We start from the raw sequence: 24,222 nt of genomic DNA on the forward strand, positions 1-24,222 counted from the left end.
GTAAGACCACATGAGATGAAAATAATTAGGTGAGGGACAGGCTGGAAAAAGCTATCAGGAGCTGCAGCTGGAGGGCATGATCATGACAAATTCTGGGACAAGGTTACATAAGAAAGGACATCAGGGGTGGAGCTTCAGTTTTCAGCCCCTTCTCAGCTGGGTAAGAAACCCAAGGAAGGAAGAAATGCTAAAGCTACAGTTTTATGACTTTTGTTTGCATGATTTCTGCTCAAATAGGCTGGAGGAATGGGATGATGACTATATTCTAACAATTAAAATGCTGTCAATACTAGAACTGTAATACCACACTCCTTTAAACAAGAAAAAGCCACATTTCTGTTTTTGTGGTTGACTACATGATTTAAGTTTTTGTTCTGTTTTCTCCAACCCCTCCATGAGAAATCTCCAAGCATAAGATTATTTTGCTCATTTCTTGAGGATAAATCTGTTTGAATGATGTTTTCTCAGGGCAGGGATGGGAAGTGTCTGCTAATCAATAATGAACCCCCGGGAACCAAGAGGGTCTGTCAACAAAGCTCTAGCTCCCCTCGTTACCCCACGGCTCAAGCATCCTGTGGGGCCACAGGTAGCTTTGCAGAAGAGGTCACGCCAATGGAAAGGGAATAATTGGATATTTCTCCTTCTAAGAATTCATGAGAAGGAAAAAATGTGGAATGTTGTAAGAAAGTCAACATGGCCTAAGGGAAACTTTAATAGGCTTTTCAAGTCAGTCACGTGAGCCAAAACGGAGAGAGAATGATAAAGATGCAAGGCTCTCTGGCTGCTCAAAACATGAAATAAAGGAGACTTTTTTTTGGCGGGGGGGTGTCCACAGTATAGTCTAAAAATGTCAAGGCTTATTGCGCAGGTTAACGGTTTTTGATTTCTTGGTATCTGAGGTTAGCCACAGGGGAGTGTATTATTATAAAGTCACCTGGCTTCACGGTGGCTCTTGGTGGTTTTACTTACCGATAGACTTTTATTCTCAGATTCTTAAGATAAGGAATCCTCTAAGAAAACCTTCCTGAGACTCCTGAGTCTGAGCTACTAGGAATCTTACGCTGTCTTCCAAAGTCACTGTGTAAATGTGCATTTATCAATATGGTTTATGATTTCTCCTGCCCATTAGTCTTTAAAAAGCACTCGTTGGGTATTCTCAAAGATTAAAAAAAAGATGAAGTATCATTTGGGTATACTGAACTATGTACACCATGACAAACATTTATTTTTCTGGCTCAAAGATAATGATAAAATAAGTTTGCTACCCTGATTTGTATAAACTGTGAACACATGCTTTACCATATGAGAAAGCAGATCACCATAGGCACGAGTCAGTAGAAATATCAAAGAATCAAACCTGCTAAAACTGAAGGTATGATAGCTATTGGATCCAGATATAAAATAACAGAAAACACAATAACCGAGACAAGGATTATTATTTCTCTCATTTTACATATGAGGAAAACTAATATGTAAGTTGGGTAGCCTGTCCAAACACATCCACTTTGTAAATGGTAAGGTCTAGATTTGAAGTCAGGCAGTTTGGTCCTATAATTCTTATAAGATTTGTTTTATATTTTACAGAAATAAAAGGGGATAAAATGTGATGCAAGCAAGAGAGATCTCAAAACTGACTAGGCTGTTTTAAAAACAGCTAAAGAGAACTTTCTGAACTGAGAGAAGTGAAATTTAAAACTCACTGAACCGATTAATTAGACATGGCTGAAAGCAAAATAATAAATTGGAATATAATTCTGAAGAACTTACCCAGAATGCAGCACAGAGAGAAAATGAGAAGTAAAATATAAACAATAAGGTAAAAAATACAGAGAATAGAGTAAGTTCATTCAACATACATTTAACAGGAGGAGTTCCTAAAGGAGATAACAGAGCAAAGGGGGAAGAGCCAATATTAAAAGTGACTGAGACATTTTACAGAATTGACAAAAGATACCAATCCTCAGTTTCAGCAAGCCAAACAAATCCTAAGCAGAATAATAAAAAGAAACCCACATCTAAACACATTGCGGCAAAGCCTCAGAACACCCAGGACAAAGAAACGATCTTAAAACAGTCTGAGAATAAAAATACACAGACCCAGACTGAAAACTGATTCATAGCAGCAACACCAGAAGCCAAGAAAAAGGGACTAATATCTCCAAAATGTTGAGGGAAAAGATTGCTGTGTACCTATTTGTGTATCCAGCATAATGATCTTTCAAGTGTGAAAGCAAAGTAATTACATTTAAAGATAAACCAAAGCTGAGAATGTTTATCCCTAATGACTCTCACTAAAACTTCTGAAAGACACAATTTAGGTAGAAGGAAAATTATCCTAGAAGGTAGGTCTGCAGTTCAAGAAGGAACAGTGATTATTGAAAATGGTAAAAATATAAGAATCTAACCATTGGCATTGATTGTATAAAACAACAATGACAGTATGTAAGTTGGGAGAGGATGACTGGACTTAAATTAGGCTTAGATTTTTGTGTTGTTTGTGAGAAATGTACAGCTACTGATTAAATGTTTCATATGCATATTAAATCTCCTCGGGTATGCACTAAAAGGATAGAGATTAGGGAGGAAATGAAAAGTGAAGGTAAAAATCCATCTACATGAAGAATGAAAAACATGTCACCAAAAAGCGGTCACATGAAAAAACCCCAAAACGCAATTCAACAGATGATGAAAACAGATCAGTAAGTACTATCAATGGAAAATGACTAACTGGGAAAATTAAATGGTACGGCTTGTAAGATTGATTTAAAAACAAGGGAAAGGAAAGGAAATGTAGCTATGTGGCATTTAATATATAAAGACAAAAGATATTAAAGATTAAAGACATATACTCAATAGTGTGTGTGCCTTTCAACTGGAGAGTACATGTCTTTTTCAAACACACCTACACCATTAGTTAGAACTGATTGAAATGGAATGGAAAAAATACACCAAGAATGAAAAACACACAAACCAAAACAAAGCTAGTGTAACTAAATTAATATATGGCAAAATACAAAATAGACTTTAACTAGAAATGAAAAGAATCACTAGAAAAATAATAAAAATTTATCATGTAATCACAAGTGAAGAAACAGGAAGTTATAGCCATTCTAAATGTGCAAAACAACAAATAATAACAAAAAGAAAAACCGACAAGGAGAAAGTGACAAATTCATTATCCACCCCAGGGGGCAGCCATGCTCAGTACTGATAGACCTCCCAAAATCACATGAATTTTGATCCGTCGGATCAGGTATGGATTTGAAATCACAATAGACATACACTCAATGATGTGTGCCTTTCAACTGGAGAGTACAGATCTTTCCCAAACGCACATACATTAGTTAGGACTGATTGTACAGTAGCCTCAACAAATTTCAAAGAACTGGGATCACACAGACCACATATTCTGCCACAACGCAGTTTAGAAAACTACAAAAACTAGAAAAATCCCATCTCTTTGGAAAATTTAAAACATATTTCTGAGCAACCCATGTGTCAAGACAAAATTGTAATAGGAAATACAAAAATACTTAGCATTAAATCTTGTTTGACACAGCGTATACTATTTACAAGGAAATGTATAATCTTAAATAACTGATACTCGGCCTGAGCATTCAACTTGAGAAATTAAAGAGAACAGAAGAATCTTCTCAATAAAAAGTAAAGACAACATCATATTGAGTTATAAAATAAATTCATGTGTAAGCTCATAGGACCCAGAATGGCCTAGATAAGAAGAAACAGGGAAGATTTCCTATCAAGATTTATAAGGTGTGTATTAGGACCAATGGACTAGAACTGGCCAATGGAACAGTGAGCCCCACACAGTCCAACACATATATGGGAAGTGACATGGCAGAGCTGGCATTGCACCCCAGAGGGGAAGCGGGGTACTTTCAGTACATGGTATTGGGACCACAGGATAAAAAACATAGATCCCCACTTCCCATCATACACAACAATCAATGCCACGTAGATCAAGGTCCTTTATTTTCAAGTGACCAGTGTTAGACAAATTGTACAATGGCCCTGCTCCTAACCATGTAATTGTTTTTCTCAGTCTAGGCTCTGAACAAAATCCCTCTTCATCCAACAAATATTTTCTGTGTGCCAGCTATCTTCCTGCCAATTGTTCTAGGCATGGAATACACCAGTAAACCAAAGACCTCTACCCTTGTGGGGCTTACAGTCTTGTGGATAATTGACATATAAGGCAGTAGTTATGTATCAGGCACTTTATTAGCCCTGACATACTCATTACATCCTTGATAGACACTACTGTCTCTAAGTGCCAGAGCTAGGATCTGAAGTAAGTTAGCCTGCCAACTCTCAGAATCCCAGCTAACTACTGTATTACATCTACTGCCTTCCTTATTGCCTTAGTGAAGAATGTGCCATGAAATGTTTTTGCTTAAACATGTATGTGATGATCCTAAGACATTGTTATGTGTAATGAATTGACTTTTTTTCTACGGATCTAACGTACTGGATAGGTACCATCCATCCTTGGAAGAATTTTGAGAATAGCTACTCAAATCACTTTCTGTGTTGTGTGGTCAGATGAGAAAGCCTGAGTGGGCAGAGATGGTACCACTGTGCTCTAGCTTGGGTGACAGAGTGAGACCCTGTCTCAAAAAAACAAAAAAGTAACAAAAAGTGAGGTACAGTGATTCCACCTTCTGGGGAAGTTTAACCATACCTTAAAATCTAATGCTGACTAGGTGAAATTCAGACAATGTCATACATGAGCACCTAGTTTTTTGCTTTGTTCTGTTGGTAGATTTTTACAACTGCCATCTTCATTCTACTCTCAGAAAGTAAAGGTTTCAAGACATGTTTTGTTTTGTGTCTGTAAGAAAGCATCTTCAGGACCCCATGGTCAACAAATTTGACAATCGATAAATCTTTATGTCCAATTCCCAATATTTTCCTTTTGTAACTGCTTCATTGGAAGGTTTGAGCATATATTATACTGTCTAAACCTTCTCCTTGGCTGGACAAAACTAAGCTTCCTTCTGCTTTGTATTTCCTTCTACTGTCCTAAGATGCTGTTCCAGCTCTCGTGGTATTTAGCTTTCATAGCAGGGATGCTGGGAGGTCTGTGTAACAGATGCTCTTCCCCTAGTACAACTCCCCTCCTTCCTTCCTTCCTGGGCAGCCAGCTGAGATGCCTGTTACAATTGGCTCCTACTGTTCTCTGTTGCACAAATCAGTCAGCTAAAGCAGCCCTGCTGGTGTCGTATGGTTTAACCTTGCTACAGTGAAATGGCAAGTAGGGACATTTGATTGTCTTGCATACGAATCCAGGGATCTGACATTTTGTAGCAAAAAGCTCATCAAAAACGACCAGAGGAAAAGATAATCCTGCCATTCTACCTAATATCAGTCACAAAATGAACTCCAGCACATGAAAACGAACTTTAAGCCTACTAGAAAACAAATATATACCATATGTCTGTGGATAGGGAAGTATTTTTTAGCGGTTCTCAAAATACACATATAAAAGCCAACAAATGGGGATAAATAAAATTTAAAACTATGCAAAGAAACACCTGAAACAAAGTTTAAAAACTATAGACTGAAAGAGGGGATTTGAAATTAAGATTAGTATCCAAATCTTGTAAAGATCTGTGAGGAAAAAAACAACAGAAATATGATCAAAGGTTCACATAGCTGGACGCAATGGCTCATGCCTGTAATCCCAGCACGTTGGGAGGCTGAGGCGGGAGGACTCCCTGAGCTCAGGAGTTCAAGACCAGCCTGTCCAACATGGTGAAACCCCGTCTCTACTAAAAATACAAAAAATTAGCCAGGTGTGATGGCGCGTGGCTGTAATCTCAGTTACGCGGAAGACTGAGGCAGGAGAATTGCTTGAATCTGGGAGGTGGAGGTTGCAGTGAGCTGAGATCACGCCACTTCACTCCAGCCTGGTGACAGAGCGAGACTGTGTCGTCACCAAAAAAAAAAAAAAAAAAAAAAAAAAAAAAAAAAAAACTTAGTTGGAAACCAGAATAGCCAATGAACATCTGAAACGTGGTCTCTGCCCTAGTAATGCAGGAAATGTAAACCAGTGAGAGATCTCACACCCATCAACTTTGTTTTAAAAACAAAATTTTTAAACACTGACAGTACCCTACTGTCCTTGAGGAAGTGAAGAGATGAGAATCCTCGTACACTGCCGGCGAACTCTGGAGATTAATTTGACAAAACCTAGTAAAGCTGCAATGTGCCAGGTCGGTGCAGTGGCTCACACCTGTAATCGCAGCACTTTGGGAGACCAAGACAGGCAAATCGCTTGAGCCCAGGCATTTGAGACCAGCCTGGGCAACATGATGAAACCTGGTCTCTACAAAAAAATACACAAAGTAGAATCCAATTTAAATTATATTCAGTTAAGTCAAGGATGTCCATGAAAAGAACATATAAATATGCTAATAGGAGGAAATGGTATAATAAAAATATTAATCCAAAAGAGGCAAGAAACAAGAGAAAAGGGTAGGTAAAATGCCCTGGTCATGGAGAAAATGAATGGTTCAGCTGTAGATGTGAATCCAAACACATAAATAATCATATTAAATGTAACTGGGTTACATATTCCAACTAAGAGACTATGTTTAAAGAAAATCTATATGCTGTTATGAGAAAAATACAAAAGGATTAATACGGATGGAAATGATGTATTATGCAAATACTAACCAAAAGTAACTAATATAGCTACATTAATATATAAAATAAGGTAATAAAGCTTTGGTTGAGACTCATTATGAAGGACATTTCATAATAGAAGGGTCAATCTACCACAAAGACGTAACAATTCTAAATTTATGTTCACTTAGTAAACTAACTTCAAAATAAAAGATTGACATAAAAGATATGCAAATCTACATTCATATCATAATATTCTATCACTTCTCAGGAACTGGTAAGAGCCAGGGAAGAAATCTATAATGATCTAGATCTGTAAAACATGATTAAATTTGACCTAATACACCAAATAAAAAGCATCCAGTAAGGATAGAAACATATTCTTTTCAAGTAGACGTGTTATTTCTCAAAATTGACCATATAGTGGGGTCAAAATGGATGTCTCAATTTCAAATGTATGTTTAATGATAATGTAACATTATGCTGGAGTCAACATAACCAGAAAGTTTTCAAATGTTTGGAAATTAAGCAATACATTGCTAAATAACTCACAGGTTAAAGAAAAAAATCAGAATGCAAACTAGAAAGCATTTTGAAATGAATGATAATAAAAATACAGCATATAGCCTTAAAATGAAGATATTAGAAAACAACTAAAAATCAATTTTCCAAGCAATCGTCTCAAGAAATTAAAAAGTCGAGCAAATTATAGCCAAAGAAAGGTTGGGCGTGGTGACTCATGCCGGTAATCCCAGTACTTTGGGAGGCCAAGGCGGGCGGATCGCTTTGAGCCTCGGAGTTTGAGATGAGCCTGGGCAACATGGAGAAAGCCCATCTCTACAAAAAATACAAAAAAAAAAAAGTTAGCTGGGCATGGTGGCATGTGCCTGTCAGTCGCAGCTCTGCAGTGAACTGTGATGATCGTACCACTGTACTCCAGCCTGGGCAATAGACTGATAGTGAGACTCTCTCTCAAAAGAAAAAAAAATATAGAAAAAATGAGGAGCAAGAACAAATAATATAAAACTATTTGAGCCTTGAAAGTAACTTTTAAAACATATAAGTAAAAAGTGTTTTTGACACTTTTAATAATACACTGCAAGAACTCCCCCTCATGTAAACTAAGGGAAGTGTGTGCTTTGTTTTGTTCAAAACTTTAAAAGCAGAGCATGACTCCTAGTAAAATCTCATCGCCAGCAGCAAACTATTCATGGTACCATCTCCATGTGTAGTTACCATTGTTAGTGACTCTATATACTGGAGCAAACATCTGACTATTCCATTATATTATTTTCATGATGTAGTTGTACCTGAGCATTTGCATATTGAAAAATTTATTTTATTATAAATCACTTTCATTTTTCTTTTATAATAGGGGATTATGGTCTATATCATAACATACTCAATGTAAAGTTATATTTAGATATATTATGAATTTCATGATGGTAAAGGGGAAATCTCAAAATACTTTTAAGAAAGTATCATGTTTGACAGTTGACAATCTCTGGATTTGATGACTGTTAAGGTCCTTCTCAGCCTTAACAGTCTGAGATTTTTTTGTAACCATTACTTCCAACAATAGCTTTGTTCTATTTTGAAACTAGTGTGTGGCAGGCACTGTAAGTGGAACAGTATCTCATTTAAATCTAATCACCCTTATAATAGGTAGTGTTACTGTAACTAACTGTTTATATGAGAAAACAAATTCAGAGAAGTTAAATAATGTGTTCAAGTTCACATACCTAGGTAGAGCTGGACTGACTCCAAACTCATGTTCGTTTCACTCACGAAAAGAACATTAACATAACATACATTACTTTACCTAGAAGAGTTAAACACTATCAGTCAACAAGTGAGGTTAGGCTAATGTAAGCATCTGTAAGAAAGAGTCTCTACCCACCACAGCAAGAAAGAGGAGAAGATGGAATGTATAAATATAGTAGGCACCTTTTTAAAGTCAGGACCAATTAATCATGTAAGGTAGTTATAAATGGATGACATCTAAAAATATATCAGAATAAGTTTCAAGCCATGCAAAATTCACCAAAACAATTTTTATTTCCAGTGTTTAATTGGGTATGCACACAGGCATGACACAGGTTTGGATTCATTAAGTCCTCATGCAGAATTATATTCTTCTCGATAAAGAAGCCAGTTCCATCCAGGATCCACTATCTACACACCTATGTTACAACATTATATCAAATCTGGTATCTGAAGAAAAGATACACATTTAATATGTTCATTTAAGTTACGTATTTTACAGAAAGATTAAAAATTCAAGTCACACAAAACTCAAAAACTGTATTAAAAGTTTGAATATAAAACTCAGATCCACCTGGAATGACTAAAGAATGGAAGTTCTGTATCCACCTGTGTTAAAACTGGTAAATGTAATGATATCTGTTACCAATAAAACGCATTCGTTTATTCAATGTAAGTAAGTTATCTAATTTTAACAATATGGCACCCTAAAAACCAACTGTATTTTTATGATGAGGCACTTTTGTTAGTGATGAAACCAAAAGAACAAATTTGCTGCACACTGATGCCAGCGATTTTCTTCAGTGATTTTGGGTATATGCTATGTAGTAAGTTGCAACAAATACCTTGCTCATTTGTATACAACTATCCGATATATTTTTAAATATATATATATATATATATGTTCTTCTGGCTGTAGTAATGCACTGTAAAGCTATTTCACAGTGCAAAATGATGAAACCAGCCCAAATGAAGGCTGCATAATAACAATTCTGATACAAGAAAATATTGACAGAGTTACTGGAACGTGTAACAGTAGTTTTTTTACTTGCTAGAGTGGACATACCCCCAGTTTAAAGACAGGGATGAAACTCTGCTTTACTGCCTGGGGTTTCAGACAGTTTATGAGGTTGGGCATTCGCTGCAGAACTAGCATTTTTGCTCACGTTCTGGAAGCTTTCTCCGTTTATTTGGTCAGGTGACTGTGGTGGTATGGAAAGAAGGGGCCTGTTTGTTGAAGCCAAGGTGCTGGAAGAACTGCCTGTGTTGCAATGAAGAGACAAAGGTGTGTCGGTCGTGGCTATTTCTCGTGTGCTTGGGTTCTCTGTCTGGGGATCTCCGATTTCTCCTCTGCTAAGGTCAGAGGTACTGGTGCGTAGGCGTTCCCTGGCCAGCCAGTCTGAGATGGAAAGGTCCTGGGCTGAGCATTTTGGTTTTAACCGGTTTACAGCTGAAAGTTCAGATTCTCTCTCCCCGCTCTGCTCATGCACTTTCCAAAAATTCAAAACGCTGATTTCGGTAGCATCTCTGTGCCCTCCTAGTGTATGTCTGCGCCGGATGCTTTTCCTTTTAGCAGTCTCGGCATTCACTTTGTGATTCCCTACTCCAAACATGTCATCCGCAGGGGCTCTGGGTCTCAGTTTTAACCGATCTGCTATTTTCGTTTTCCATGTGGGTTCCTGTTTTTCGGATTCGCCTCTGGTGGGTGTCAGTAAACTCCCAGTTGACTTTCCTTTTTTCATAACATCAAACACTTTAGTTAACGAAGGTGCTTCTTTCTCATTCTTGGCATCTCCTAGACTTCCACTATCTGACTTGAATCTAGCTGATTTTTTCCTGGAAAGAGTATCACATTCGATGAGTTTATGGGAACTGAAGAGCTGTCTCCGGCTATCTAAACTTGATGTTAAACTTCCCTCGGTGCAACTTAATTCACTTCCTTCAGAATTTCTCCGGCTGCTCTTAGTCACTTCTTGCAGTTTTCCTCGGAAAAGCCTCTCTGAAGTCAAGGCTGTGGGGAACACGGGAAACTCGCTCTCGCTGTCGGTTTCCACAGGCCGCCCTTCACTGATGAGTTCGCTTCTCTCGTCATCTGCCTCGTCCCCCTTGCTCTCTGCCACGGATTGCACCTCAGGGCTCAGTCGACTGGAGTCCAGGCTAGTCAAGTATGTAGCAGACGATGTGGTGGAATAATCTGAGGTGATGGTGCTGACGTTGGCCAAAAACTCGCTATGTTTCGTTTCTGGACTGGTTGATTTCTTCATGGAAAACCTTGCCAGGGAGGCCTGGGAAGACGTGCTGAGCAAAGTGCCAGAGTCAGAGCCTGTCTCTTCAAGGTGGGAGGACTTCTGTGCCAGAAGTGACCTGGGGCTCTCTTTCAGGATGGCAAAGCGACAGCTGAGAGTTGGTGACTTGTTGTGTTTTGAGTTGTGTGGTGGTGAGGGTTCTTCAGAAGGCGTGCTCTCTTTTCCTAGTGATATCTTTTCATCTTTTGTCGTGCTGGGGTCTTTCCTAGTGCTGTTTTCTTTGGCAATGATGATCTTCTGTTTTCTGCCCAGTGTCTCACTTTCTTTTTTGGACTCCTCTTTAGTATCATTGTGACACTGTTCCACATTTTCTTTCTTAAAAAATACATTGTCCAGTTCATCTTCTGAGCTGCTAGGCTGTGCTTTTTCTTTCGGCTTCTTCCTCTTGCGACTAGCAGCTGCAAAGATGGAGGACACAAGCAGTTCCCTGCTATACTGATCCTTTCCAGATCCCCAAGAACCCTGGGAAGCAAGAGAGAAGAAAGACTCTGAGCATAAGAATGCAGCTGAGTTCATTTTCTGACAAGCTTGTCTCCCAAATATTTCTTATCAAATTATATCTACTAAAGCTCTGGAAGCATTAACAGTGCAATTAGCTTTTTTTTTAATACCTCTTTTTACCTTGAACCAAAGTCAAATTTTTATTTAATGAGTCCAATTTCTTGCCTCGTGGTATTTAACTGCCAAGCCACAGCTCATACACATCTGCCTTTCAGGAAAATAGTCTGTGCTTAGTGCTGATTCCTATCAAAATCCCCCAAACACCTGACCTTCCCTCCTTCCACAGTGCCCAGGCATTCTTCACTTCCTTCATTTGGAATAGAGGCATGGGATAGGTAAAACAATATTGTGACACGGTCAAACATCATATTCTGATATAGGTTATTAAACATCACATTCTGATATAGGTTATTAAATGTTTATGACTGACTTTGATTTTTCTAATTACAGGTACCACATGATATAGATACTGTATCAGATAAGCTCATTGAGATAAGGGAACTCTGGTCTTCCATTAGTTCATTCAGGCAGGATCTTCAAGGATCTGCCTTAAGTAAATCAGGTTGGTAATGTCTTCATTTATCTCAAGGTAACAATGGAATTAGAATATTCAAAAAACAGGCCAGGTGTGGTGGCTCATGCCTGTAATCCCAGCACTTTGGGAGGCTGAGGCGGGCAGATTGCTCGAGCCCAGAAGTTCGAGATCAGCCTAGGGAACATGGTGAAGGCCTGTCTCTACAAAAAATTAAGTGGGCATGGTGGCACGCACCTGTGGTCCTGGCTACTTGGGAGGCCGAGGTCAGAGGATCACCTGAGCCTGGGGAAGTCAAGGCTGCAGTGAGCATGAGGGTACCATTGCACTCCAGCCTGGGTGACAGAGTGAGAACCCACCCCAGGAAGGTAGAAAGGAAAGATCAATTAACATAAGTACAATTAAATCCTTACCACAGAAACACTGTAGTGCAGTGTTATTGGGAAAGTTATTTGCTATGTATAATAGGTTCTTTTAAAAAAAATTTTTTAAGATGGAGTTTCACCATGTTGCCCAGGCTGGTCTAGAAGCCTTAGTCTCAAGCTATCCTCCCACCTCAGCCTCCCAAAGTGCCAGGATTTACAGGCATGAGCCACTGCATCTAGATATAATAGGTTCTTGATTGCAACTATTAGTTTCTTCCTAAATATCTGCTGGTTTACCACACACTTTTTAAGACAAGCAGGTAGGCAGGAGGTATGCTGAGTAATAGAAACAGACAGTATATTTCTCTATTGCCTGCAAATCTTAGACAAGTTAAAACTGCTCTATTTAAAGTCTTAAAGTAAAAATTTAGGCTGTTCTATCAAAGAATTTAGGCTGTTCTATCAAAAATTCGCTAAGATGAAATCACAGATGAACAGAACTTTGTTTTTACAAGTTATAAAGACTTTCATAATTATCCAGCACATTTCTAATGGTTATTTACATTTCCCCACATTGTGCTGAAGACTGTAGGGGATAATGGTTGTGACTGGGCTCTCAATTGGGAGACCTTGATGTCCATCCTCTCTAGCTTGCTGGGTACGAGCAAGGGATTCACTTTTAAACATCTCAGTTCCGTGGCGAGAAGCAATTAGATTATACTGTCTTTCAGATTTCCTTAAGGTTCTCTTTACAATTCTATGATCATATATGTGTTGAGGCAAATTACTCTACTTTTCTACAGAGACTGTTTGTTAGAAGTAGTTAATCATGTCATTGGGATATCCACTATATTACAGGCATAGCATAACACCACTATGGATAAGATGAAAAGGCTACTGTAATAACAGGTTAAGAAAAATGCATCTAGAGAAGGGAAAAGCAGGGATTTCAAACAGGTCTCTCTGGTTTAAAATCTCATCTGCTGGCAACAGAGTTAAGGAAACTGTTCTAGATTAAAGAAGTCTAAAGAGATTTGACAAAGAAATGCAAGGAATGATCCTTGACTGCATTCTGTATAAGGAAGTAAAGAATATTACTGGGACAATCTGTATAAAAACTGCACATTAGATAATAATGTGTTGTACTTACCTCAGTTTCCTGAGTATGAAAATTACACTGTAATTATATAGGAGAATGCCCCAGTTCTCTGGTGATACATGCTGAAGTATTTAGGAGTAGTGTTATCTCTACAAGTAACTATCAAATGATTCAGAACAAAAGTGTGAATTTACAATTGATGAATCTAGGGTAAAGGATTTGGGTGCTATTATTTTAGCAGCTTTAGGGTAAAGGATTTGGGTGCTATTATTTTAGCAGCTTTTCTGTAGGTTTAACATTTTTCAAGATAAAAAGCTGGGCAAAAAGATAAACATCACAAGTAATAGAGACATGATAAAGCATTTTTGTAAGAATTATAATTTAATCATATGGAGTCCTGTTATGATATTTAAACATGATATGTAAAATTCATGTCTCATTACAAAATATAACAATGTTTTAAGAAGTCTGACAATTCCAGTTGCTACTGCCTCAACAGTGCAAAATTTAGATCCACTGACTTGACAAAAAACTTTCTAAGAACTATAAATGTCCCACAAACTACTCAAAAAGTTGTGTAATTGAGGGAACACAGATTGTGTAAAAATATTATTTAAAAAATTAGTGATTTCACTGAAAAGGCAAGACTATACTGTCTGTAAAAATGCATAACAAAAAATTGGTATTTCTGAAATATTTACAGATGATATGATGCTTGGGATTTGTGTAAAGATGGTCCTAGAGGGAGGGAAGCAGGTGGCGTACAGAGCAAACGGAGTCGGCCGAGTGCTGATAATTACTGGAGATGAAGATGGGTGCAGGGAGGCTTCTCATTTTATTATTCACTTCTGTATATGTTAGGACCTAATTTTCACATTAAAGAATGGCCTAGTTCTTTGTATTATGCTAAAACTGCACAATGAGAAGAATATGAACTTTTGAGTTCTTATTCCAACTCAAAATCTAGTATTCTTCTTATCATATATTGTTTTAGGAATTAATTTTTTGATTATACTTTGTTGCTCTGTCTCATTAGACATAGAGAGGAATGCATTTGTGTATCAACCATAACAATCAGCCGAAAAACAATTCCCCCCTAAAATATTTCAAATTGTATGAAACAATTTACCTTAGATTTTGTTGAGTCACTAGTAGCTGAATCTGTGAAAAATTAAATAAAACATGGTCAGTATTAGCCAATCTTTACTGCTTTCCACAAACAATGCAAAACTTATGGAAAGACAGGCACAGAACAAAATGTGAAAGCAAAACTCAAAACAATAGAACACAGTGGATAGTCAGAGCTCACAAAGATGCAAGCTGCACCACAGAAAGCCACCGCCATGAAAGGATGCTGTGAATTGTAGGCAGAACCAGCTCAATGATAGAAATGGCAAAGGAGCCCTGTGCTAAACAAAAACAGAAACACTCGTGTTTATTAGACTTTCTAAATATTAAATCTAGCAATAAAGAAGCTTCAGGACAGTGTAATAATTTTCTTTTTTAATGTACCACATCCTGTATCTGAGACTGATACACAATGTAGAACTTTGAAGAGTGTTGGCCGCCCTAGCTACAATTGAGACACTCATACTGGCATGTTTATGTTGATTTTTGTCAGACTTAAATTTTCTGAGCATTATGCTGTATGCGTATGGATGCAAAAGAGGCATTAAGATAATCTTGCTTCCAGGTCACTTTGGTTTTACATTAAATAATGTTTATCTTTGTGCTTCAGACCCCAGTTCCATAGCAGTGCAGTTGAGGGATCCTTTTGACTAGTTTGGTTAAATTGCTACCAGTTTTGCAATTATCTATTAACAAATGCTGTTATGGAAATGGAAAAATGGAGACCATAATTTTACTGTCTGGCAAAAACTCAGATTATACAATTATAAAGAGGGTAGGAAGGGGCTAGCAATATTCAGGATAATACCAATTTTGAAGTTTCATCTTTCAACATTAGGGAAATTGGTTTTCAGAATTAATGAGCTGAGCCCCATGCCACGCCCCTTTTAACACATGGCTAAATGCTTTATGACTTTAAGAACTGGTAGACCATACCATGCTATTTCTCCTCAGGGTCTGCTTCAGAAATAACAAGAAACAGCAGAAAAACTTTTAAGAAAGTAGTATTGATCTGTTTACAATAATCTTATGAGAAACTTTACACCACAGATCAACTATGTTTGCATTTACAAGAATCGGGGATTTCTGCAGACAAGGCAGCTACAGTGTGGACAACAGTCCTCCTTCTTCCTACAGTTCCAGCTGTCCATCAGGGACATCACAGAATCCACTAGTGACATTACCGTGTGATAGACTCCTCCCACTTCGCCTGTTCAACATCAGTATAGATTTGCCTGTGTCAGTAAGAGCTGAAAAAACCCTTTAGGACTAAAACAAGAACTAGAGACAAAGGGAGAACATTGTGTAAAACAACATGCTAGATTAGTGCAACAGTTTGGCAGGAGAAAGTTTTCATCAAAAGAGCCTAGAAGAACTAATACTTAACCAAGCATTAGGGTGGCAACAGGAAACAGAAGAAAATAAATGTCAAATAGGCTGGCTTTTTACTGTGACAAATAATACACTGTATTTATGAAAATGTATTTATGAAAATGGTGCCCATTACCAGTTCAACAGATTTAACTTGCTGCTTTTAAACAGAACTCCTGGCTCAAGAATAAGAACTACTTATACAGCCCAGATCATACTTTCTGCCATCACAGCAACCACATACTCAGTAGCATATATCTGTTTTACCTTGTGATGACTATTACATGGAAACTGTGAATTAAAAAAAAAAAAAAAAAAAAGAACAAAACAGTGGTTTGCATGCTCATTTCCCTCATAGTTCCATTCTGACAAACATTACAACTGCATGCACTGCCAATGGCATTAGAGTCACTGGAAGATAATTCAGATCAATTGGAAAAGGAAGATTAAGGTTTTTTATTAGTAGAAAGGAAGAGAAAAAGAAAAAAATCATAAGTAACAATTCACTATGATTGATTTGCTCTTTCATATTGTAAGAATGTAGCTTTCAGCCTAGAGGTCAAGACTGCCCAGGCAAGAGTTACCTGATACATCTCCTGGGGAGACTCCTGTCCTTCCAATGTTGGTGAGTAAATGATCTATGTTTGGCACTGGCTGGGAGTCTACTGTGCTTTCCTCCTGCACTGTTGTCTATGGTTAATAAACAAAGATCTCTTCATCATCTCTTCAAAGATACTTTCTTTAAAATTTAAACAACATTTAGTAAAAGACACATTACTAAGTAAAGCACCTGTGCTTAATGTGTTTACATTGTTTACGCATAATTAACTGCAAAATAAGCACCGTACTTGTATATTCATTAGATCAGAAACTGAGCTAGAGACCTGCTTCCGGGGCGCAAAGCGGACAATAGCAAAGCAGGAAGTTGACATTGTTGGCGCGCCAGGATCTTGTGTCCCAAATGAAACTACTGAGTACAAATGCTGACAGACAATACTTACAAGAGGCTCTTCAGCACCTTCTTCTGTGAAAAACCAGTCATGCTAAAATTTAAAAAAGGTGAGAAGAGAAATTAAACAAGCCTTTAAATATACTGAGATCTTGGAGGATAGTATAGAAAAAGGGTAATTTTCTTAGGGAAAGATATTACAACCAACCTCTGTCTGACCAAATAGCGGCTGCCCGTGAAAATGAATTTTCTTGCAGAGATGAAGCATGAACTTACAGAGATGAAGCATGAACTTACGTGCTGGATGAGCGTTTCTACAATCTTGTACTGGTCAGGCATGTGGGTGACCATGTGGGTCATGTTGTCTTCTGATGTTCGAACAAGGGTGGGACCAAACACTATTGCTAGGTTTCTTGGTTCCATCTGAAAGAAAGGATGATACTGGGAAATACCAGAATTTTTCTTAAGGAAGTAGGCTGAAATTGCCATTGTAGGATTTTTGATGAAAAAGAATAAACAGAAAAATAGCTTTGATGTAGATTAAAAAAATAATGCTTTCTAGCAAGATTTTTTTTTTTTTTTTTTTTTTTTTCTGAGACAGGGTCTCACGTTCACCCAGGCTGCAGTGCAGTGGCATGATCACAGCTTACTGCACTCTCGATAGAATCTTATTATGTTGCCAAGGCAGGTCTCGAAATCGTGGACTCAAGCAGTTCTCCAGCCTCAAGTGTCAGCCACCACAAGTGGCCTAGTTAGGATTTTCAAAGCAAATGTGTACAAAACGTTTTTTCTGCATTAATGATAATGTGCAATGCATAATTAGCATTCATTTTTTTCCAAGAAGACTTTGATTGAAAACAACTGATTTGGTTCAAAACGAGGGTTACCAAAGCTGGATTAACTGATAAAAATGTTAAAATCAAAGGAAAAAAAAACTTGCAGAAGATTACAGGCACACCTGTAGTCCCAGCACTTTGGGGGACCGAGTCAGGTGGACTGCTTGAGCCCAGGAGTTCAAGACCTCATCTCTACTAAAAATAAATTAGTCAGGCACGATGGTGTGTGCATGCAGTCCCAGCTACTCCGGAGGCTGAGGTGGGAGGAGGTCGAGGTTGCAGCCTGGGCGACAGAGTAAGATCCTGTTTGAAGAAAAAAAGAAAAAAAAAACAAAAAACTCCCTCCCCTTCAGAAATGAAAAGTGGAAGAAGTGCTGAAAAATACATGAAAGGTTATAGATTTTTCCCTCTAGTACATCAAAATCACTAATGTGTAAACACCCAGTGTCTGGAAATATTATTTCTGACCAATTTTTACTTGAAACCAATCTTCTGAAGCTACATTAATTTCCATATTTGGTATTCCTTGTATAATAATTATCAGATTGTCAAAGGTATGGATCTTTTGTTTTCCTTCATTAAATCTTATAGTATCTGATATATTTTGAATTCAGTATTTGATTAAAATAACTTTAATCAACCCTAATAACATCCCAGGGGGGTAAAAACCACTGCCAAACTCAAAAAGCCAAAATGGAAAAAAAAGAAAAGCAACTGCTGCACACCTAACATGTTAACTAGTAGTGTAGCACACATACAACGACACCATCAGTGCAGAGGAAGAAGAAGAAATTGTGTTGAAGTCAGGATTCTTCTAGAGAGTTGGCTTGGTAGAAAGAAACTATGTGTGGGAAAGGTGTACTTAAAACTGGGCACCCAGAAATGTTTCTGGTCTCCCTCTAGAATATGTACTCATCCTCCTCTTAAATCTGTGCTGGTGCTGGTGGCTCAAAAAACAGAAGTCTACCATCTCAAATGCCTTATGTAAAATTTTTACTAGACTCTTGACTATGATTTATGTTTTTAGACTAATGATAACAAACATTAATATTTATATGTATACACCGTAATATTTTATCTGGGTAAACAGTTTCAGCTGGTTCCTACATAAAACTGGTAAAATAGTCTACAGCTTATTCATAAATTTAAAAATTGTATTTTTCTTGAAAGATATTCCATAAAATACCATACCCCATCTTCAAGATTCAGTGTAATTAAAGACACAAAAAATTCTTCAGTAAAGACCTATGCTAAAGATTAATTCAGTACTTTCTAAATTAACTAGACCAACAGTACTCCTAACATTCAGCAAAACTGATGAATGATGTAATAGATTTCAGAAAATACTGAAATTAATTAGAGACTATTTCAGCTATAATTATATTGAAAACTCTTTGGCTCCTACAGTATGAATTTCTGGCAACAGTCTAGGCTTTCACTTCCTTTCTCTCTTTTTTTTTTTCTAACCATTTTGTAGCCCTATCAATCACTATGGAGGAAATTGAGCACCTAAAGGAAGTAAGCTTCTTGATTTGCAGGTAATAGAGGTTGACACTCTTCTCATAATCAATCCTTACAACTTCCAGAACATGCACAGTCACTAAACTGATCTATCTTTCTTAAACTGATCTTTCTCTACCTTAAGGAAAAATCACTCAGAAAAGACTGTCAGCAATATTCCTGAGCTTGTGGTATTCTTTTATTTTCTTCTCCAGAAATTAAAACGACTGCTTCAGTACTTTAAGAAGTAATGCCCTTGAGTTAGAAAATCATCATTTTAAAATCTCTGATGATATAATGGATTTAGGCAATAATCATCAAAAAACTAAGTTAAGACTACAACCTGTCAACCAAATACCATGTGTAGACCTTGTTTGGATATTGACTTAAGCAAATAACCCTACAAAGACACTTTTACAATCAAGAAAAACTGAATGGGGCTGCGCATGGTGGCTCATGCCTATAATCCCAGCACTTTGGGAGGCAGGTGAATTGCTTGAGCCCAGAAGTTTGAGACTAGCCTGGGCAACATGGTGAGACCCTGTCTCTAATATAATTTAAAAAAAAGAAAAACTGAATGTGAACTGAATATTAGACAATATAAAGAATATATTTTGTTGTGTTTGACAAAGAAAATGTGGTGGTGTTAAAAGGAATGAAAATGACTTATCTGTTTATGTCTGTTTTCCCTGTATTCTATTTGGCCTTTTGACTGTTGTAGCGTATGCATATGTTACCTCTTCAAAATATTGATATACAGCTAAAAAATGAGAGAAGTAAAATTTCTGACTTTTTCATTTTTCTTACTGAATAACCATAAAAGAAATCTTTTAAAATATCCTTTTAAAATGGTGACAACTGGTATTTTGGGATCTTTTGCTTTTAAAAACAATTTTAAGAAGGACTTACCCAGTTTGATGTTGAATTACAAACCTTTTATTGACTATTTGGCATGAAGTAATGAAGCATATCTTTTAAACTAAAGCCACTAAAAGTACATTTCTTCAATAAGCATTTTACATACCTTATTTTTTTCTGAATTTTCTGCCACTGTCTTCAGATGAGCTGAAAGGAACTTAAGTGTTTCATAATGATGTTCAGGCAAATCGTGAATCTGAAACAGATTATTTTCACAATGGATTCAGAGGCTGAATTTTAGTTGTATCCCCCAAAATATAAAATAATACCTACTAGTCTTTTTAATGTTTTCAGACGATCTAGAGGATCTTCTTTACGATTGGCTTCAATAAAATCAGCATATTTATCTGACGACAAGAACAATAAAACAAATTTATCTTAAATTGCCTAGGTGAATTGTAATCTAGTTTCCCTTTAAGGATCAATTTTAAACCACAACATAGGAAAGAGTTCTAATAGTTTTGAAATGTAAATTTCTAAAATGTAAGTTCCCTGCAGGAACCATCCTATATTTACACAGCCTGTCCATTCCTCCCCCACCCTCCAACAACATCTAGTAAAGTGTCTTACATGGCACTTAAATACTTGGCTTGACTGAAAAAACATTTTTCTACTCATTGTACCTTATGATGTCAGAAGCCATTTGACTGGAAACAATAATATTAATTTGGCTGCAAACATGTATGAACAAGATAATACATATTTCACTGAACCTAAATAACTTTTATGTTTTTAATATATGAGGGAGAACTAAATAAAGCCTCCTGCTTCCTTTGACCAAGACATTTTGTCCTTGTTCAATTTAATATTCTATGGTTTTCCAATTGTAACTTGAACCATTTCATCTGGTATCTTTCACGGGAGTTAACTCACCATTTGTGAAGAGAGGCTCAGGGAGTTTTCTGAAGAAGGATTTTAGTAAACTGCTTATCACATTCAAATCTCGCCATTTCTAGGTGTACAAAATAGAAATATAGTATTTTCATATCCAGTTCCACCAAAGGGGGAAAAAAAAGGATCAGTTATTCAAATAAGCAAACTTACATCATCTTGTATATCAATATCAGCCATTCCCTTGTTGAGTTCTTCTTGCATACTTGAGATGGCTGCATTATTTCCAGGAACTCTATAAATACCTGTATATTCAAGACCTCTTTCTTCAACTAATTTGCAACATATGTCAACTATTAATGGAATATACTGCAAAACAAGAAATAAACATTTTATTTAATGCAGCACAAATGTTTAGTAGTTGTATATCACAGCTAAAATGCCCCTTTCATCCAAAAGGAAACATAAATTGCTGTTATGTAATATAAAGAATACAGACATTATAGATCTGGGAATAGATAAAACCTGCAAGAGATATTTGAGACAGTAAGAAGAGAACAAAGAGACTGAAAGAAAGAGAGGGACCCCCAGAGAGATAACATTCTAAAAAGGAAGTAACAACAGGTAAAGAGAATGTGGAAACCGTTCCGCTGAATAAAGAGTCAAGAAAAGAGGAGGAGAGAGTAATATCAATTCATGATACGAATCCTAGCATGGGTGTTTTAAATATATGCACATACATTTACATGTATTATACTTTCTTAATCAGGTCCTTGTTCTCATCCTTGTTTTAAAATGCTAAAAGCAGAAACACACGATTTGAAGACGAATTCTTACAGACCATTTCAGACAAATTCCTAATGGTTGAATAATTATTCAATTTCGGAGTCAATACATTAGAAAAAAAGCATTACAGGTCAGAAATACTTAGGGAAACTAAGGTCTGCTATGAAAAGGAAAACAGATTGACAGTCTCTGTTGTCTGAAAGGCTATATACTCAGATCCCATTATAATCAAAACTGAATTAATGACTTGAGGAAATCCGGTGGGCTGGTGTCTCCTACCCGATTAGTATGAGCTGGTGGGCAGTCATCTAGTCGGACGCCGAAAGTTCCTGTAGCAGTTGGCTTTTTCTCAAATGTCTTTCTCATGATACTTGGAATGCCTTTTCTCCATGTGCCTTTGTCTTTTGGGGGACTGGTATCATCTTTTGATTGCCAGTCAAAATAAAACAACATAATAAAATGGAAATGAGTGTCTAAATCATGACTTTAAAAACACTTTATCAATGTTTACATAAATCCAAGTCCTGTAATATAAATAATACATCCTATATTTAACAAAAATATGTTCTCTTCCATATAACTTTTACTTCATTCTTTTATAATGCGTGCTATAATTTTCTTTAAAACAGCAAAAAAAAAAACTACATAGAATCAGTGTGTCATCTTTATAGTGAGACTTCAACAAAGGGAAAAGTAATAGTTTTATTTCAAAATGATAGGACCTGAATCCTCGGAGTCATTTAAATTTGTAATGTCTCTGATTTAAGTATTGTTTGTATTTTCCCTCACTTTCGCTTTATAATGAAGCTGGTGTCTTGGGCCTCACAAAGGGAAAGGCCCAATGAGCCCAGACCAAGCCTACTATGAATTTTGAGCTAGTTGACATGGGGCCTGGTCAGTAGAAATGGTACAGAAAACATAAACGTACCTCAACGATGCCAATTTTAAATCATTATATTTATTTGTTAGAAAGCTAACATCAATACCTTTACTGAGAAGTTTCCTTTCCGACTCTTCCTTCGGAGAGTGTGGGCTTTGAGTCTTTGGCTCTGATTTAGCACCAAGCAAAGTTTGCCTGATGCTGAGACTCTGGCGAGGTGTTTTTGGCAACTGTTCTGCTTTGCTGTTGAAGGAAATGACATTTGTTAACAATTACAGTAATCCCCCTCTATCTATGGTTTCAGTTACCCGTGGTGAGCCATGGTCTGAAAATATTAACTGGAAAATTCTTGGAATAAACAATTCATAAGCTTTCAATTTTGTAGTCCTGCCCAGAATAAGAATCATCCTTTCATCCCGAGTAGCCACACTGTATACACTACCCGCCCATTACTATATGGGAAAAAATATAGCGTAGAGAGGATTTGGTACTATCTGCGGTTTCAAGCATCCACTGGGGGTCTTGGAATGTATCCTTGCAAATAAGGGGGATGACTGTACTGATTTTATATCCAAATTAACTGCAGGCAAGGTGGGATTCTCACCTCATCAGATTGTTGTATTCTTTTATTCTTCGACTAATTAGATCCCTGTTAGTGACTCCAGTGTCCTACAGAATAAAGTAAAATTAGAAAATCAATTCTAAACATAAATAAGTGATCCTTACTTTTTTGAGGCTTTCTATTGTACTGCTTTGCTTATTTAACACAAACACTACTATCATCTGTTCTCAGTGGAGCTGTTTCAAAGCTTCTATTCAACATCACTGTGTGAAAGATTTTCCAAGTGCCTCCCAACATTGCCAAAGGGTTTTGCTTCTTTTCTGTATCCATGCGATACCTAGGATAGTACCAGCAAGTAACATGTGTTCAATACTTATTGAATTGATCCGTCCATTTAAAATAAATGACTAGGAAGCAGCCAGTGTTTTCTCTAATACCAGAAAGAATGATCAGCATTTAAGAAATATACGTGTAAGTGATTTTTCTTCAAAAAGAAAAACAAATAATATAGGTGGATAAAAGATGAAAACAGACTGCCAGAATTTGTTAGTGACTGACTAATTTTTAAGGATAGTGAAACCAAGGATCAACTAGTATCACAAGCGGCAGTTACATTATCAGAAGATAAGAGAAAAGCTCAAAATTTGCATGATTTTTTTTTAACCTCTGTGAGTTACCTTGTATGAAATGCTATATGGTAAACCCAGAGTTGACCATAAAGTGATCCTTTTTTTCCTATTCATTCCAATTATACATTGATATTGACTGGGGTTCTCAATTTTTTTTAACTTGCCTCATTTTGATGATAGTGAATGATGATACAGTTTACAAAGAATACAGTCTTTAAATACGGGAGTAAGTTATCTTGAATTTAAATAGACTCTTCCAACTTATCAGCTGAGAGATCATATGATTAAGATCTAGAATAAGACTGCCTGGATTTAAATCCTACCCCTGATGCTTAAGTCACTGTGTGACCTTAGGGAAATTATTTAGCCTCTCTTTGCCACTGTTTCCTTATTTTTAGAATGGTGGTGATGATAATAGGACACATTCATATGGTTGCTGAGATTAATGCATGTAGTATGTTTAAAATAGTATCTGCCATATGGTATGTGCTCAGTGAATTATTGTTTTCTCATCTATAAAACTGGGGAAAATACTTGTGTACCTGTGTCTTAAGATTAGATGGTGATGCTAATAGCTCACATTAAGTAAATGTTTATTACTTGGCAGGCATTCTTCA

At 36.9% G+C, this 24,222-nt stretch overlaps 1 protein-coding gene across 28 annotated transcripts in view, besides 1 other annotated feature; it reads right to left on the reverse strand.

Annotated features, from left to right (window-relative positions):
- Window positions 4,923-5,424: an enhancer, noted in NCBI's record as "NANOG hESC enhancer chr10:24868778-24869279 (GRCh37/hg19 assembly coordinates)". NCBI's record gives its function as "activates a minimal SCP1, AML or CMV promoter by ChIP-STARR-seq in naive and primed H9 embryonic stem cells {active_cell/tissue: H9 hESC(naive and primed)}" and the evidence as "EXISTENCE:reporter gene assay evidence [ECO:0000049][PMID:30033119]".
- Window positions 8,688-24,222, reverse strand: part of ARHGAP21 (Rho GTPase activating protein 21) — a 140,274-nt gene continuing 124,739 nt past the window's right edge. For 17 of the 28 annotated variants that reach the window (NM_001367447.1, XM_011519605.3, NM_020824.4 and 14 more), the window contains 12 exons: window positions 23,019-23,083; window positions 22,521-22,657; window positions 21,814-21,956; window positions 20,962-21,117; window positions 20,791-20,869; window positions 20,191-20,264; window positions 20,024-20,113; window positions 16,961-17,086; window positions 16,716-16,757; window positions 16,299-16,404; window positions 14,345-14,376; window positions 8,688-11,180 (listed from right to left, as the gene is read on the reverse strand). In NM_001367447.1, the coding sequence (NP_001354376.1) occupies window positions 9,486-11,180; window positions 14,345-14,376; window positions 16,299-16,404; window positions 16,716-16,757; window positions 16,961-17,086; window positions 20,024-20,113; window positions 20,191-20,264; window positions 20,791-20,869; window positions 20,962-21,117; window positions 21,814-21,956; window positions 22,521-22,657; window positions 23,019-23,083 (2,745 nt within the window). In that variant the 3' untranslated portion in view covers window positions 8,688-9,485. Of the gene's footprint in view, window positions 11,181-14,344; window positions 14,377-15,279; window positions 15,554-16,298; window positions 16,405-16,598; window positions 16,758-16,960; window positions 17,087-20,023; window positions 20,114-20,190; window positions 20,265-20,790; window positions 20,870-20,961; window positions 21,118-21,813; window positions 21,957-22,520; window positions 22,658-23,018; window positions 23,084-24,222 lie in introns of those variants that run through there. The other 11 variants (XM_047425561.1, XM_047425560.1, XM_011519607.3 and 8 more) reach the window with 5 other exon arrangements.

Source organism: Homo sapiens, chromosome 10 (assembly GCF_000001405.40).
Source record: "Homo sapiens chromosome 10, GRCh38.p14 Primary Assembly".
Classification (NCBI taxonomy): Eukaryota; Metazoa; Chordata; class Mammalia; order Primates; family Hominidae; genus Homo; species Homo sapiens.